Below are 17,558 nucleotides of genomic sequence, written 5' to 3' on the forward strand. Positions count from 1 at the left end.
AGAGGGAGTTGTTTCTATCTCATTGCCACGGGGTGGGAGAGATTTTGAGAATGAGTGCTGGATCAGGGAGACTCAGTAGTTCAGGAAGTTCTGAGGGCTATTTTCTCTGAAGTAGCAAGTGAGGTTATATGCTAAGAATAAGGGGAAGAGAAATGTATTAATAAAGGAGATAAAATAATACAGCTAGACAAATTGACTACAAAAGGATTGAAAACATAGATATCATGATCTAACAGTGCTACTTAAATAGTGGTATTTGGTTTCTTTTGGTCTGTAGTGTTTGATTTCTGTTGAAAATTGTAGTTTCTGGTTGTCATGACTGATAGTAGTGGTTTTGCTTGCTTGCTTGCTTTTTGTTGTTTGTTTGTTTGTTTGTTTGTTTGTTTTTGAGACAGAGTTTCGCTCTTGTTGCCCAGGCTGGAGTGCAGTGGCGCGGCTCACTGCAACCTCTGCCATCCAGGTTCAAGCGATTCTTGTGCCTCAGCCTCTCAGGTAGCTGGGATTACAGGCATGCACCAACACACTCAGCTAATTTTTTTTGCGTTTTTAGTAGAGACAGTTTCATCATCTTGGTCAGGCTGGTCTCAAACTCCTGACCTCAGGTGATCCACCCACCTCAGCTTCCCAAAGTGCTGGGATTACAGGTGTGAGCCACCGCACCCAGCCTGTTTTGTTTTTTTGAGACAGGGTTCCTGTCACCCAGTCTGGAGTGGAATAGTGAGATCAGAACTCACTGCAGCCTCAACTTTCCTGGCTCAAGTGATCCTGCCACCTCAAGCAATCCTCCCACCTCAGCTTCCTGAGTAGCTGGGACTACAGCTGTGCACCGTCGCTAATTTTTAAATTTTTTGTAGAGATGGGGTTCCACTCTATTGCCCAGGCTGGGCTCGAGCTCCTGGGCTCAAGGGTTCCTCCTGCCTTGGCCTCCCAAAGTGCTGGGATTACAGACATGAGCCACTGTGACTGGCCTTGATTTTTTAAAATAGCAGATTGCAATTGATATGTTCAAGAGATTTTTTTGTTTGTTTCCCCAAGAGAATTATTATTTTGGGATCTTCCAAGGTTGTTAGGTTCTTGTATAGTACAACTAGAATTGTTTGGAAGTGTTTGCCAAGCTTCGAATGGATAATTGCTTGTTCCTTCATTTATCATACGTGATTTTTCAAAGTGCTGGGATTCCATGCATGAGCCACCACACTCAGCAATAAAATCTTTATAAACTGATATGAAGTGATCTCTCAAATGTATGCATGTACACACACCTTTATGAAAGGCACACATAAAATCTCATCTGCATCTCATGTATATGTGTGTGTATGTTTGTGAAAATAGGCTCTAATACCTTTAGGTGAAAAAGCAAGATGGAGTAGTGATTAGAGTATGCTACCATTTTATAAAAGAGGAGGGAAATATATTGGTACCTATATGTTTATATATGTATATAGTGTTTCTAAAAAGATGCATAAGGTATTGCTAACATGGGAGAGAAGCTGGGGGCCAGGTGTAGGAGGAAGACTTTACTTTTGTAATCTTTAAATAAAAACATATTTCTAATATTTACACACGCAAAAGAATATAGTTAAGATGAAAAGAATAATAATAGCTTGAAATTCTAAATATTCACTATTAAGCTTAAAAAAATAGAACATTAACAATACCTTCAAAGACCTGTGTACCTTTTTCTTATTTCTCACAGATCCAGTACCCCACTTTGTTCTTATCTTCAGAAGTACTTGGGCAACTGTGTTAATGTCTTATTTATTGTAAAAATGAACAAATAAATTAAGAAATTTTGGGATACATATACATATTCCCTAATAATAGAACTAACATACTCTGATGAATATGAAATAGTTTAAGTTAAAAATAGATGAAAACCCCAGAGCCTTGAGAGGCTGAGGAGGGAGGCCCACTTGAACCCAGGAGTTCAAGGTTATAGTGAGCTGTGTTCATGCCACTGTACTCCAGCCTGGGTGACAGAGTGAAAGCCTGTCTTTAAAAGAAAAAAAAAAGATAAGATAGTTCAAATATTAGATGTATTTACCTGCTTTTAGTTTCAAGAACTGTGGTTTCTATTATTACACTTTTTTTTTTTTTTGAGATGGAGTATCACTCTGTCGCCCAGGCTGGAGTGCGGTGGCGCTATATCGGCTCACTGCAACCTCCGCCTCCTGGGTTCAAACGATTCTCCTGCCTCAGCCTCCCAAGTAGCTGGGACTACAGGTTCGTGCCACCATGCCTGGCTAATCTTTTGTATTTTTAGTAGAGACGGGGTTTCACCGTGTTAGCAAGGATGGTCTTGATCTCCTAACCTCGTGATTCACCCGCCTCAGCCTCCTAAAGTACTGGGATTACAGGCATGAGACACTGTGCCTGGCTATTATTACACTTTTAAAAGAAGGATTAAAAATCACAAAATATTGAATGTTTTCATTTTGAAAGTACTGACTTTTAAAATTAAAAAATTATGAATATAATGATTATTTAATGTTAATATTTTACATGTTTTTCCTTTCAAGCCTTGATACATCATCAAAGGCATAGCCTTTCCAAGATGGTTTATCAGACATCACTTTGTTCTTGTTCTGTAAACATCCGAGTGCCCAACAGACATTTTGCTGCTGCTACAAAGTAAGTATTTTTTTTTAGTTATTATTTCATTTGTTGTCATTTTAATTTTTTTTAAAAAGCATGTTTAGTTCCATAAAGATTTACCAGGACATATAGTTGTAAAAGTTTATTATTTCTGCTTCATCGACCTTATAGTCCTGAAGGAAAGATAAGACATAATAATACTTAACGTTTATTGAACACTGATGTTCAATAACTAACTTATTCCCAACAGCAACCTTATGAGGAAGCTATTGTTATTATGCACAATTTACAGAGAAGAAAATCGAGGCACTGGTAGGTTATATAACTAGCCCAAGGTCAGAGAGCTACTAAATTTTAGAGCTAGGGTTTGAATCCATGGAGTTTATTCCAGAACCAAAGCTTTTTCCAGTATGCTTTCGCTGCCTTTTTAGAACAGAACCCACTGTTGCAATTAATGAATTTTAATTTAATTAAGAAATTAATTTAATTTCTTTCTGTCCTTTAAATTATATTTTTTCCTTTTAGGCACTTTTTATACATCATGTATTAGAGGATTATCCGTACTATGATTACATAGTAAGATTTCAGATTTGCATAGTATATATATTGGGTATAAATTTGTATTATTTTGGCTGGGTATGGTGGCTTACATCTATAATCCCAGCACTTTGGTAGGCCAAGGCAGGCAAATCACTTGAGGTCAGGAGTTCGAGACCAGCCTAGCCAACGTGGTGAAACCCCGTGTCTACTAAAAATACAAAATTAGCGGGCACCGTGGCTCACACCTGTGATCCCGGCACTTTGGGAGGCCGAGGCGGGTGGATCACGAAGTCGGCAGTTCAAGACCAGCCTGGCCAAGATGGTGAAACCCTATCTCTGCTGAAACTACAAAAATTGGCCGGGTGTGGGGGCAGGCACCTGTAATCCCAGCCACTCGGGAGGCTGAGGTGGGAGAATCGCTTGAACCTGGGCAGCAGAGGTTGCAGCAAGCCGAGATCGCACCACTGTGCTCCAGCCTGGGCGACAGAGTGAGACTCCATCTCAAAACAAAAAACAAAACAAAATTAGCTGGACATAGTGGTGTGTACCTGTAATCCCTGCTACTTGGGAGGCTGAGATAGGAGAATCACTTGAACCTGGGAGGCAGAGGTTGCAGTGAGCTGAGATTGCGCCACTACACTCTAGCCTGGGCAACAGAGGAGACTCTGTCTCAAAAATAAAATAAGATAAGATATATGTAAAGGAATGAAATCTGTTCTCTCAACTTTGTATTTCCAAGAGCAGGATCTGGTTTCTTGCCAAAAAGCTCTAGGATAATAATAGTTAAAATTTATAGAATGCTTCCTTTGTGCTAGGCAGTATACAAAGCACATAGCATATGTTAGTTCTTTTAAATTTCACAACACTCTGTGAAGCATAGATACTATTGTAAGTGTTTTACAGATGAAGGAATGGAAGTCCAGAGGTTAAGTAATACGTTCAAAGTTACACAACTAGAATGTGTTGGAGGAAGGATTTCAGCCTAAATTTTCTGACTTTAGAACTGTCACACTCTTCATGGTTAGTATATAATAATAGAATCATTGGCTCTGGAGGATAGGGTCTGCAAAGCAAATAGAGTCCCAGCTACAAAAATCTTACTTTATGATGAAATTTGCTAGAATACAGTCCTCAGGTTATGGGATACCCAAAATGAAAACTAAAGGGTAGAAAGTTTTTGCTGACTGTAAATTTTCACTTAATATATTCTTATTTCCATAAACTTAATTTAATATCAGACAACTGTGCCTCAGTTGCCTCTTACTTAGCATACTTTGTTGAGCATCTGCTGTAGGCCTGGCACTGTGCAAAATGATGATATGAAGATGAACAAGGCACACATTCCGTTCCTCTGTCTTTGAGATTTTCACAGTGAACTGACAGCAACATAAACAATTGCTTTTTGTTTTAAATGAATTAATTAAAATGAGTTAGTTAACTCTGTGAGTAGATAAAAGATAATTCATGGTAAAAGATAAAAGATATTCATGGTAAGCATAGTATTTAGTGAAAAGTTGGTCTTCTTCCCACCCCATCCTTTAGCCCTTTGTAATCGTCTGTGCATATGTAAGTACATGAGTATATTATTTGTTTTTTACATAAATGGTAGTGTACTATGTACCCTGTTTTGCATATTGCCTGCTTTTTTTTTTTTTTTGAGATGGATTCTTGCACTGTCACCTGGGCTGGAGCGCGGTGCTGCGATCTTGGCTGACTGCAACTTCCACCTCCCGGGTTCAAATGATTCTCCTGCCTCAGCCTCCTAAGTAGGCGCCTGCCACCACGCCCAGCTAATTTTTTGTATTTTTAGTAGAGACGGGGTTTCACTATGTTGGCCAGGCTGGTCTCAAACTCCTGACCTTGTGATCTGCCCGCCTTGGCCTCCCAAAGTGCTGGGATTACAGGTGTGAGCTACCGCACCCGGACCGCCTGCATTTAAGTTAACAATATATCTTGGAAATAGTTTCATATGGAGCTGTCTAGTCATTTTAACTGCATTTCATTGTGTGAAATGTAGTAGTGCATAATTTATGTAACTATTCCCCTATTGAGGCACATTTTTCTTTCCATTCTTTTTCTATTACAAGTGATCCTGCAAGTGAATAATCATGCATATAGATCCTGTCAAATATAATGAATATGTTTGTAGCATAAACTCTGAGAAATAGAATTGTTGGGTCAAAAGATGTGTGCATTTATAATTTTGATAAGTAATACCAAATTGCCTTCATAGAAATCTTGCCAGTATTTTTACCAGCAAGTATTATTACAATGCCAATTTTCCCATGTATAGTATAGTCAAATTTTTTCATCTTTGACAATTTGATAGGTAATAAATAGCATTATTATATTTATATTTCTTTTATTATTAATGAGGTTGTATACCTCTTCATATGTTTAAGAGCCACTTATATTTTCTTTTCTTTTTTTTTTTTTTTTGAGGTGAAGTTTTGCTCTTGTCGCCCAGGCTGGAGTGCAATGGTGCAATCTCAGCTCACTGCAACCTCCGCCTCCCAGGTTCAAGCGATTCTCCTGCCTCAGCCTCCCGAGTAGCTGGGATTACAGGCACACGCCACAACGCCCGGCTAATTTTTTTTTTTGTATTTTTAGTAGAGATGGGGTTTCACCATGTTGGTCAGGCTGGTCTTGAACTCCTGACCTCAGGTGATCCACCTGCCTTGGCCTCCCAAAGTGCTGGGATTACAGGCGTGAGCCACCATGCCTGGCCCGTTTATGTTTTCTTTACTGTGAATTTTCTGTTCATGTCCTATTCTAATTTTTTGTTGTTATTGATATGTAGAAGCTTCTCTATATATTGTTATATACAAATATGATATTCGTATATTATGAATTAACACGTCTGTGATACAACTTCTGATTAGTATGACTGTTTTAACTGTCATATTAGAGGATTGGATCAAGTGCTATGCGATCACAGATGAAATGTCAATTCTGTCTGGGGAAGAGTAGGGCAAGAAGTATTTGAGCTAGGTCTTGAAAGATAGAATTTTGCAGGGGGCTGGGTGTGGTGGCCCATGCTTGTAATCCCAGCACTTTGGGAGGCCAAGGTGGGTGGACCACTTGAGGTCAGGAGTTTGAGACCAGCTTGGTGAAACCCTATCTCTACTAAAAATACCAAAAAATTAGCTGGGCTTGGTGGTGCATGCCTGTAATCCTGGCTACTCAGGAGACTGAGGCACAAGCATTGCTTGAACCTGGGAGGTGGAGGTTGCAGTGAGCCAAGATCGCGCCACTGCCCTCCAGCCTGGGCAACAGATTGAGACTCTGCCAAAAACAAAAAAAAAAAGAATTTTGCAGGGGAATTGGTTGAAAGGTATTTCGGTAGTGCAGAGACATGAAAGTGAATGATACATATACAAACATAACTAATTTGGTTTGAATATAAGATGAATACGGAGGTGGCAGAAATCTAACAAGAAAGGAGGCTTCCTTTGAGTGTGAATAGTGCCTGGATTCTTTTTATTGTTAAGTTGCTGGAGTACCGCTTGTACCAGTTTATATCCCCACTTAGTAATTAGTGAGTAGTGCCAGTTTTCCACATGCCTAACAACCTTGGATACCATCAATCTTCATTTGTGTTTCTTCACTGTATTTATTTATTTATTTTTTTGAGATGGAGTCTTGCTCTGTTGACCAGGTTGGAGTGCAGTGGCATGATCTCAGCTCATTGTAGCCTCCACCTCCCAGGTTCAGGCGATTCTCTTGCCTCAGCCTCCCAAGTAGCTAGGATTACAGGCGTGCACCACCACACCTTGCTAATTTTTGTAGTTTTGGCAGAGATGGGGTTTCACCATGTTGGCCAGGCTGGTCTCAGACTGCTGACCTCAAGTGATCTGCCCGCCTCAGCCTCCCAGAGTGCTGGGATTACAGGTGTGAGCCACCATGCCCAGCCTCTTTACTGTATTTCTGGCTTATGCCTTTTGCCTGTTTTTCTGTTGGGCTTCGTCTTTTTCTCTCTGCTCTGTAAACATAGTTATTTATTAGGGATACTAATTATTTCAAGAATATTTTATCTTTAAATGTTGTTTTCCTTTATACCCTAGAAATGTTTCATTTGTGTCTACCCCAAGTTCTATTCCAGTATGGTTTTAAATGTGCTTTTCAAAAACCTAGAGAGCATAGAACAAGAAATATGCCTACTCTTAAAAAACCATGAAAATTTATAAGCAGATGGTTTTTTTCATGTCTGACAATGAGAGTTACTTAGTAGTTTGATGAGAATCATAGTATTCATAATTTTAGTTGTAGTTTTTATTGTTTAATGTATTGACTTTATAATACACTAAAAAATATTTTTTTCATGGCTAGATTTTGTTTTTTATCAGAATCTGAATGGAGTAGAGGGGCACCTGCTAGCTTCTCTTGTCTGTCCTTTTGGCTCTCCCCTCTACCCTGTGTTGTGCAAGCATATATCCTCTATTTGCCAGTAGCAGATCCTGATTTTTAAAAAGGCCATTAGGTTGAGTCTGGTTTTGTTTCTCTCTTGACTGTGGGTTTTTTCTTTTTCTTTACTCTTCTTTATTTATTTATTTATTTTTGAGTGGAGTTTTGCTCTTTTTGCCCAGGCTGGAATGCAATGGCGTGATCTTGGCTTACTGCAACTTCCGCTTCCCAGGTTCAAGTGATTCTCCTGCCTCAGCCTCCTGAGTAACAGGGATTACAGGCGCGCACCACCACGCCCAGCTAATTTTGTATTTTTAGTAGAGACGGGGTTTCACCCTGTTGGCCAGTCTGGTCTCGAACTCCTGACCTCAGGTGATCCGCCTGCCTTGGCCTCCCAAAGTGCTGGGATTACAGGCGTTAGCCACCACACCTGGCCTGACAATGGGTTTTTTTCTTGCTTATGTCAGATATCTGAATGCGAGATATGTTGTGTAGGGACTGAAGTAAATAATATTTACGCCTGCAAACAGGCATGCCCCTTCATCTGTCAGAGCATTGAGTCAATCTTGTCAGGAGTTGAGCTAGGTTTTGGTTTTGTTGTTGCCATGGTTACCATCAGCTTCAAATTTCTGTAGTTACCTTGTTCTTAGGGTGGGGGCTGGGTTGCTGGAGGGTTTTTCTCAGCGTTCCTGTTCATGCTCAATTTTCTGCATTCCCTGTGCAGCTGTGTTTCAGTGGCAGTGATGGGGTGGGGTGGGGTGGGTCACTCTTTTGCACCCTTCCCTAGCAGTAGACTTCTATTCCTGGTGATGGGTGTTGGGAGGGATTTTTTTTTTTTTTTTTTTTAAATAAATGCAGCCCTAGTCTTAAGTAGGCCCAGTGCAGCTGGACCTTGGGGTTGGGGTTTTCTCAGCATTTCTGTTCCTTCTCTTCATGGCACCACTTATCTGTTGCATGTCTTATGGGGAAGTTTCCTAGCCCTTCCCTAGCTGGATTGGTACAGGATACTGGGCTCTGGACTATTTCCTGCCCTGCTCTCAGTGGGTAGAAGTGTTGTAGGTTTTTATCTTCTTTCTCCCTTCCATCGTTAGACACAGTGCGTGTTTACCTGTGCCTTTTCCTGTGTGCCTGCAACTGGCTGGGGGGTGGGGGGACGGCGCGCTTCTAATCTTCTGCTTTGCTCCAGTCTTTCCTGGGAGCACCTGGTGGGAGGTATGTGGAAAATGGCCTGTGAATTGAGTGTGAACTCCCCGTATGCCTGGGTCTCCCAAGAGGTTTATACTGTCACACTAGCCCTAAAATTGTAGCTGGTTGTTTCTTACCTGCTTGCCTTTCTCTCGTGCTCTGGCGCAAGGGAGACTGTGGTGGGAACTGGAGTGTGGGACTGACTGTCCTTGGATTTCAGGTTATTTGCGTTCAGTCTCGCTCCGTCATGGGTTCAAGAAAAGTTGTGATTTTTATCGAGCTCTTTCTCGTTGTTAATGGTCTTTCCAGCTTTTACATTTTAAGTGGAAACAGAACTTCTGCATTTAGTTTAAAAGGTAATGAGTAAACCAGCATCAGAGATGTTAGTGAATTTCTTTATGTGATTACACTAAGAAATAAGAATTCCAAATATTTCCATTCCATTAATATGCCCTAGGCATTTTCTCTTTAGTTCTGTTTAGTTCGTTTTAGTTTTACAGAGGTTGTACGAATTTCCCCCCACTAATGTCCCAATGTAAAGGATTCTTCAGCCTTGGAAAGACTTGGATTGGTCTCTTGGGGGTCACAGATTTTCAAAGGCCTTGAAGTGAACTTTATTATATCTCTGATTTTTAAAAATCTTATTTTAGGCCAGGTGCAGTGGCTCATGTCTGTAATCCTAGCACTTTGGGAGGCCGAGGCGGGCAGATCACAAGGTCTGGAGTTCGAGACCATCCTGGCCAACATGGTGAAACCTTGTCTCTACTAAAAATAGAAAAAATGAGCTGGTCATGGTGGCAGGCACCTGTAGTCCCAGCTACTCGGGAGGCTGAGGCAGGAGAACCGCTTGAACCTGGGAGGCGGACGTTGCAGTGAGCCCAGATCGCACCACTGCACTCCAGTCTGGCAACAGAGCGAGACTCCGTCTTAAAAACAAAAAAAATCATATTTTATTGGGTATGACCATGGAAATCATGTTTTTGGAGTTGGGAGACAGATGAGACAGGGGAAAAGTTATTGCTTTTGTACAGTCTCTTATTACTCGTTTAATCTGTGTGGTTTAGTTACCCAGGTAACTGCAGCTAAGTTCTGTTCTCTTTGATTCAGACTGCCAGGTGTTTGTCCTCTACCTTCCCAAAAATCTTTCTAGTATGATTTATTGTATTCTCTGAGAATCACAGTATTTAAGGGTTCCTGATAGAGCTTTATATAATTGCATGAACAACAAAGTTCTTCTGAATGTGATTCTTATGAATAAAGGTAGCTATTTTTTGGAAGGCCATGGAAAACAGGTGGCAGGTCTGTTAGATTAATTATTTGGAAGAAATTTGTTAAATTGCAGTTCTTTTTTTAAGAATGCATTTTCCTGAGAGTCCTATTTGATCAGTATTATAATGTTGTTATACTTTTTTTGTGTTTATAAATATTTTCACTCAACCACTTTAAATATGTTGTGAAACAAGGTCCAAAGTATAAATAAATTGCAATATACCCAACTCAGACTCTTTATGTATCAGACTTTCATTGAATTTTGAAAATATTTATTAATTTAAAAAGTCATATTTCAGCCTTGGGGAATATCAGATTAATTGCAAATTAATTGCATAGGTTCCACTATGATTGAAAATTTAGTGGCGAATTCTGCATTTATGTAAAGTAAGCCTGGAGGCTACAGCTAGAACATTTTGTTATTTTAAATAGGAGAATTTATTCCTAAAACAGGCTCTCCAAAATCCTTCTGTTGGCTTCTCTGCTGCTTTGCTAAATATAAAGTAAAAATATGGTTGCTCCAGTTTGGAAGGTTTCAGGATTTTGTGGAGTACTTCCACGGTAGCTGTTGAGATGTGTTGTATGCATCCACTTGGGCACTTGCTTAGACTTGTCATCAGTCCAGAAGGACACCTGTGCCCCATTGAAAATGAGCATTGTCATTATCTAATATTCTGTTGAATTGCTCATTAGCTGGGAGGGTACTATTATTAGTGGTGGTAGTAAGGATTTACTGAGTACTAAAAGTGAGAATGGAATTATACGTTGAATTGGTTTTTGAGGTCTTTTTTAAAAAACTGTTTTATTATCATCCATTTCTTTCACATCAGTTTTATAGGACTTCATATTCATTTTCTTCCATAACAAATTGCCATCTCTGCCATAACAAATTACCACAAACTTTGAGGCTTAAAACTATACAAGTTTTTCATTTCACAGTTCAGTAGGCGAGTAGTCTGACATGGATCTCACTGGGCTAAAATCAAGGTATTGGCAGTTTATTTTCTGGAGGCTCTAGGGGATAATCCATTTCCTTGCAATCCCCAGCTTCAAGAGGCCACCCACATTCTTTAGCTCATGGCCCTCATCCTTCATCTTCAAAGCAATGGCTGGTTGCTTGAATTTCTTCAGTGTCATTTTCCCATATCTGTGTGATGCAGTTGGGAAGGGGAAAAGACTCTCACTTTTAAGGATGCATGTGATTAGATTGGGCCCACGTAGATAATCTAGGATAACTCTCCATCTCAAGGTCTTTAACCTTATCTCGTCTGCAAGGTCTTTTTTTTTTTTTTTTTGCCATGTAAGGTAATATATTCACAAGATTTGGGAATTAGGATATGGGTCTCTTTGAGGCATTATTATTCTGACTACCACAGAACCGGAACATCTTTCCAGAATACTATTACACTAATTTAAAACTTTTATGGTTAGAAGAGTACAGACATGATCTGAATTAATGCTGAGAAAATTACATCACCTCTAGTTCTTTTTATCTTCAAATTCTTATCTGCCATTACCTGGTAAATATATTTTCTTAGATATTTTGTAAGCACCTTGTTAGCTTTTGCTATGTAACAAACCACTCCACAATTATTTATCATTGCCCACATATCTATGGGTCAGCTGACATAGGCTGGGTTTGATGGATATCTCTGATGACCTTGGCTGGACTTGTAGTGCATCTGTAAGTTTGCAGGTAAGCTGAGAATCATCTCATGTAGCCTGGGGCTCTGTGGAGGCAGCTCTGTTCCACATGTTTCTCATCCTTCTACCTTTGAGCTAGCCTAGGCATGTTCTTCTAATGAAAAGGCAGAAATGCAAACATGAAAGTAGAAACATGTGAAACTTCTTTTGGCCTAAGCATAGAGCAGGGAAACTGTCATCTTTGCTTTATTCTGTCAGCCAAAAGTAGTCACATGGACAAATAAAGGGGCTGGGAAATATACTCCTCTTTAGTGGGAGGAACAGCAAAGTCATTTAGCAAAGGGCTTGAATGGAAAGGAGGTAAAGAATTGGGACCAATGATACAATTGACCCATACTCAAACTTCATATCCCCCAAACTTGAACTAATCTCTGTGACTGCCTCCCTCACCAGAAACCTGTTTTGCCCTCTTTATTTCTGATCTTAGTTAATGATTCTATTCTATGCCTAGTCACCCAAGCTAGATACCTAGGAAGTATTTTGGAGTCTTTATTCTCTCCTTTTCCCATCTTCAATATTTACTTTTTTTTTTTTTTTTTTTGAGACAGGGTCTCACTCTGTCACCTACCTGGAGTGCACTGACATAATCAGCTCACTGCAGTCTCAGACTCCTGAGCTCAGGTGATCCTTCCAAATCAGCCTCCTAAGTAGCTGGGACCACAGGTGTGTACCACTATGCCCAGCTAATTTTTTTGATTTGGTAGAGGCAGGGTCTTGCTATATTGCCCAGGCTGGTCTTGAACTCCTGGCCTCAAACAGTCCTCCTGCCTTGGCCTCCCAAAGTGCTGGAATTGCAGGCGTGAGCCCTCGTGCTTGGCCCAGTATTTAGCTTGACAAGTATTCTCTAATCTGCCATCTTTTCCAGTCTTATTACTGTTGCTACTCTGGTTCAGGTTCTCATATCTCTGAGAAGAAAGGGCGGGAACAGACTCTTAATTGTTTTCAATCCTACTTCCTTCAGGTCTCTCTCTTATATTGCAGCCAGAATACCTTGCCTAAAATACAGATGTTACTCCTGTTTACTGACTTCTTATTGCCTCTAGAGGATGCCCCCCTATGCTCTGTCTTTTCTAACCTCATCTTCCACTCTTGCCTGCCTTCTCTTTTACCGTTTTAGTTCAGAAGTCAGCAAACTTTGGCGAGTCAGCCAATCTTGTTTACCGACTATATTTGCACTACAGTGGCAGCGTTGAGTCATTGCAGCAGAGAACATATGGCTCACAAAGCTAAAACATTTACTATCTGGTCCTTTACAGAAAAAGTTTGCCAACTCTGCTCTAGTCATGTAGAACTTATAATAGCTTCCTTCTTATACCATTTTATTTTGTGCCTCAGTACTTTTTATTACGTTGTTTCTTTACCTGGCTAACTCTATTATTTTTTAAATAATGGCTTTATTAAGGTATCATATAATTACATATCACACAATTCACCCATTTAAAGTGTACAGTTCATTGGTTGTTAGTATACTCACAGTTGTGCAGCCATCACTGTAATCAGTTTTAGAGCATTTTCATTGCTTTCCCAGAGAACCCCATGCCCATGAGCATTCACTTCTTGTTCCCCTAACCTCCTCTTCTAGCACTAGACAACCACCAGATCTACTTTTTAGTCTCTTAGGTTTGCTCATTCTTGATATTTGGTATAAATGGAATAATATGTGGGCTTTTGTGACTGGCTTCTTTCACTTAGCTTAATGTTTTTAGGGTTCATGCGTGTTGTAGCATTGATCAATATTTCATTCTTTTATTAATTGTTGATTAATATTCCATTATATGGACATACCACATTTTATGTATCCATTCATCAGTTGATAGACATTTGGGTTGTTTCTACTTTTTGGCTGTTATGAATAATGCTGCTAAGAACATTTGTGTACTAGATTTTGTGTCATATGTTTTCACTTCTTTGGGGTGCTAACACTTCCTTATCCATTAAGAATTGACTTTGAGGTCATTTCCTCTATAACTTTTCCCTAGCCTCCTAGGCTGGATTGAATGTCTTTTCTGTCAGGCTCTGATGATGCTCTTGTATTACTACATTATATTGAAATGACCTGTTAGTATGTCTTTCTGATCTACTCCTCTGTAAGTTTCTGGAGAGCAGCATCAGTGCGGTAATTCAACTTATTCATGACTTCAGACATTGGAAAAGTTCACTTCATGTTTGTTGAATTAGAAAAACTGTAAAGCAGTCTATGCTTTTGAATTAAAATATAATTCATCCTTTGTTTTTTTTTCTCTTATGTACACTGGCTTTTTTTTTAAAAAAAATCTCTTAGGATATATATTGATATAACTCAACTTTATTTTCTTTTAAGGTCTGCAAAGAAAACAAAAAAAGGTGCTAAAGAAAAAACACCAGATGAGAAAAAAGATGAAATAGAAAAAATAAAAGCATATCCCTATATGGAAGGCGAACCTGAGGATGATGTCTATTTAAAACGCTTATACCCGAGACAGATATATGAGGTGGAGAAAGCTGTTCACTTACTTAAGAAATTTCAAATTCTTGACTTTACTAGTCCAAAGCAAAGTGTTTATCTTGATTTGACACTGGATATGGCACTGGGAAAGAAGGTATGTAGAGTCCATTAAAATAAGTTTACCTGTGAACAGTGGCTGTATGAATTGGTGTTTCTTTATTTTATTTTATTGTTATTATTATTTTTGAGACAGGGTCTTCTTGCCGTGTTGCCCAGGCTGGAGTGCGGTGGTATGATCTCAGCTCACTGCAGACTCCACCTCCCGGGCTCAGGTGATCCTGCCACCTCAGCTTCCTGAGTAGCTGGGACTACAGGTGTGTTCTACCACGCCCAGCTAATTTTTGTACTTTTAGTACAGATGAGGTTTCCCCATTTTGCCCAGGCTGGTTTTGAACTCTGGGGCTCAAGCACTCTGCGCTCCTTGGCCTCCCAAAGTGCTGGGATTACATGCATGAGCCACTGTGCCTGGCCTCTTAATTTTAAAAATTATTGCCTCTCATAATTTTTAGAAAACTTCATGCTCTTTCTGTACTTTAGCATGAAAAATATGTTTGTTCATTTAAAAATTTTCCAAATATAAAATTTGTTGAAAACACTCTAGAGAGTTAACATAGATTTCCTATTTCCTCTAAGAGAGTCACTAGTATAAATTTCAACAAAAGTAGTGTTAAAATTAACGGAGGTATCACTGTAACTTTGAAAAGTGATTTAAACTGCCTAGGTGGCATGTTTCTTCTCTGTAAATGAGGGCTCTGGATTAGCTCAGTGTCCTTCAGATGTGTTCCTTGGGGTCGCACCACTGCACTCCAGCCTGGGCGACAGAGCAAGACTCCATCTCAAAAAAAAAAAAAAAAGAGAATTTGTCTCTCCTTGTCTATAAAGAAATCCCGAGGAGGATGTTTCTACTCAAAATAAGGTTTTTCTAAAAATATTGATCCTTCAATCAGTTTTATTAGGGGAACAACCACCTTTTCTTCCAAACCTTAAGGCTGCAACAAAACTTTGGAGGGCCTAGAACTTGTTTCTCTGTAAAATCTCCCTGAGAGATCTAGGCCTCAGGCCTCAATAGTTCCTGGTCAAAATGACTAGACAGATTAGTTTAGTGGTCCTGTAAAATCTCCACCTGTATTAGCGTGCCTCAAATGCATGCCATTGTTTATTTAGGATTTTCCAATTGACTTTCTAAATAAATCTGAAAGTGATGATGGTCTAGGTTGTTTCAAAAATAGAGTCACTCAGAAGATCCCTTTAGGCTCGACATTTTGTCTTGGGTTTAGGGTTTACAATTCCTGATAGTTTAGAGCCAATGATGGCAATTGGGGGTGACCTACTGGGCAGATCAGCTGGATATTGTCTATTGTTCAGCATGTACAGCTGTAGTCATGTCTCCCTGATGGTGTCAGAAGATTACATGGGTTTAAAACAAATTTAATTGAAGATAGCAAACATTTATTATACATCAGATGGAAAGCATTGTACTAGTGCTGGGGAAGATGTTGATATGCAAACACATTTCATAATATTTGAGAGACTGTGATGAATGATGTAGAGATAGAAGCCAAGTGGCATGGGATTATGAAGCTGGAAAAAGAGATTTTAGTTTTTTATTCTCAAAAAAATATAATCTTGAAAAAGTTTCTTGAAAAAAAAATAATCTGTTGTGCTTTAAATTGTAATCGATGAATAGTAATTCATGAATAGTAATCAATGAATAGTTCTGAATTAATGGAAGAACATAGAGTAGAATCAGAACACTGAAAACAAAACATGTCCGTTCTTGTTTTATATAGAGTGTGTGAAATAGAAAAGATTAACTTTACGTAATTATTTTTCCTTGTCATGTGTTTAGAAAAACGTGGAGCCATTTACCAGTGTTCTTAGTTTGCCATACCCATTTGCTTCCGAAATCAATAAAGTTGCTGTATTTACAGAGGTGAGTAACTTCCGTCAACTATTTATATCATTTAATTTTTTTTTTTGAGACGGAGTCTCACTCTGTCACCAGTCTGGAGTGCAGTGGGGCAACCTCGGCTCACTGCAACCTCCGCCTCCCAGGTTCAAGCGATTCTCCTGCCTCAGCCTCCCAAGTAGCTGGGACTACAGGTGTGCACCACCACGCCCAGCTAATTTTTGTATTTTTAGTAGAGACAGGTTTTCACCATGTTGGCCGGGGTAGTCTTGATCTCTTGACCTTGTGATCCGCCCGCCTCGGCCTCCCAAAGTGCTGGGATTACAGGTGTGAGCCACCATGTCCAGCCTCATCATTTAATTTTTTTTAGAGATCACAAATTAATCATTAATTATTAACCAATCATTAGCACCCTGAATAAATGGAGTTAGAGAAAATCCTAGCATTCACCTAGTCTTATTTTCCCCATTTGGAGCTCAAAACATTTAGATGATTTATTTGAGGTTATATTATTAGCTTGAGAAAGAGCTAAATTAGAACATTAGTTTCATCATTACTAGAATGCTACATTGTGTTTCTCACAAGAAACTGAAAAGTGGAATTTATCAATTTATCCTATTAACTGCTGCTTTCTGTTCAAACTTCTCTCCCCAGACAACAAGATTATTTTAAAGCAATGGAACCATTTAGTACTGTGGTGCCTTAGAAACCACAACTTTCAAAAGTATCTAGTCTTTATAAAACTGTCCTAAATAAATGTTTGTTTATAATGTGTTTATGATTTTTTTTTAATCATCCACAAACTATAATGGTTCTGAATGTAATATCCCTGATGCATTTAATTGAAAATTCATGCATTCAGTTCTTTTTTGAGACAGGGTCTTGGTCTGTTGTCCAGGCTGGAGTACAGTGGTGCAGTCATACTCACTATAGCCTCGGACTCCTGGGCTGAAGCGATTCTCCTGCCTCAGCCTACTGAGTAGCTGGAACTGCGGGTGCTAGCCACTATATGGCAGGCTAATTTTTTTTTTTCTTTGAGATGGAGTCTTGCTCTTGTTGCCCAGGCTGGAATGCAATGGCGTGATCTTGGCTTACCGCAACCTCTGCCTCCTGGGTTCAAGTGATTCTCTTGCCTCAGCCTCCCGAGTAGCTGCGATTACAGGCATGCACCACCACACCTGGCTAATTTTGTATTTTTAGTAGAGACGGGGTTTCTCCACGTTGGTCAGGCTGGTCTCGAGCTCCTGACCTTAGGTGACTGCCTGCCTTGGCCTCTCAAAGTGCTGAGATTACAGGCGTGAGCCACCATACCCAGCCTGGCAGGCTAATTTTTAATATTTTTTTGTAGAGATCGGGGATCTCACTTTGTTGCCCAGGCTGGTCTAGAACTCCTGGCTTCAAGTGATCCTCTTGACTCAGCCTGCCAAAATGTTGGGATTACAGGTGTGGCTCACTGCACCTGGTTTG

The 17,558-nt window shown here is 39.7% G+C and overlaps 1 protein-coding gene across 3 annotated transcripts in view; it reads left to right on the forward strand.

Moving 5' to 3' along the window:
• MRPL1 (mitochondrial ribosomal protein L1) overlaps positions 1-17,558 on the forward strand; it is an 89,956-nt gene that overhangs the window by 6,395 nt on the left and 66,003 nt on the right. For all 3 annotated transcript variants that reach the window (XM_047416089.1, NM_020236.4, XM_047416090.1), the window contains exons 2-4: positions 2,520-2,631; positions 14,018-14,276; positions 16,032-16,115. In XM_047416089.1, the coding sequence (XP_047272045.1) occupies positions 2,555-2,631; positions 14,018-14,276; positions 16,032-16,115 (420 nt within the window). In that variant the 5' untranslated portion in view covers positions 2,520-2,554. The remainder of the gene's footprint in view (positions 1-2,519; positions 2,632-14,017; positions 14,277-16,031; positions 16,116-17,558) is intronic.

The sequence above is a fragment of the Homo sapiens genome, chromosome 4 (genome assembly GCF_000001405.40).
Source record: "Homo sapiens chromosome 4, GRCh38.p14 Primary Assembly".
Classification (NCBI taxonomy): Eukaryota; Metazoa; Chordata; class Mammalia; order Primates; family Hominidae; genus Homo; species Homo sapiens.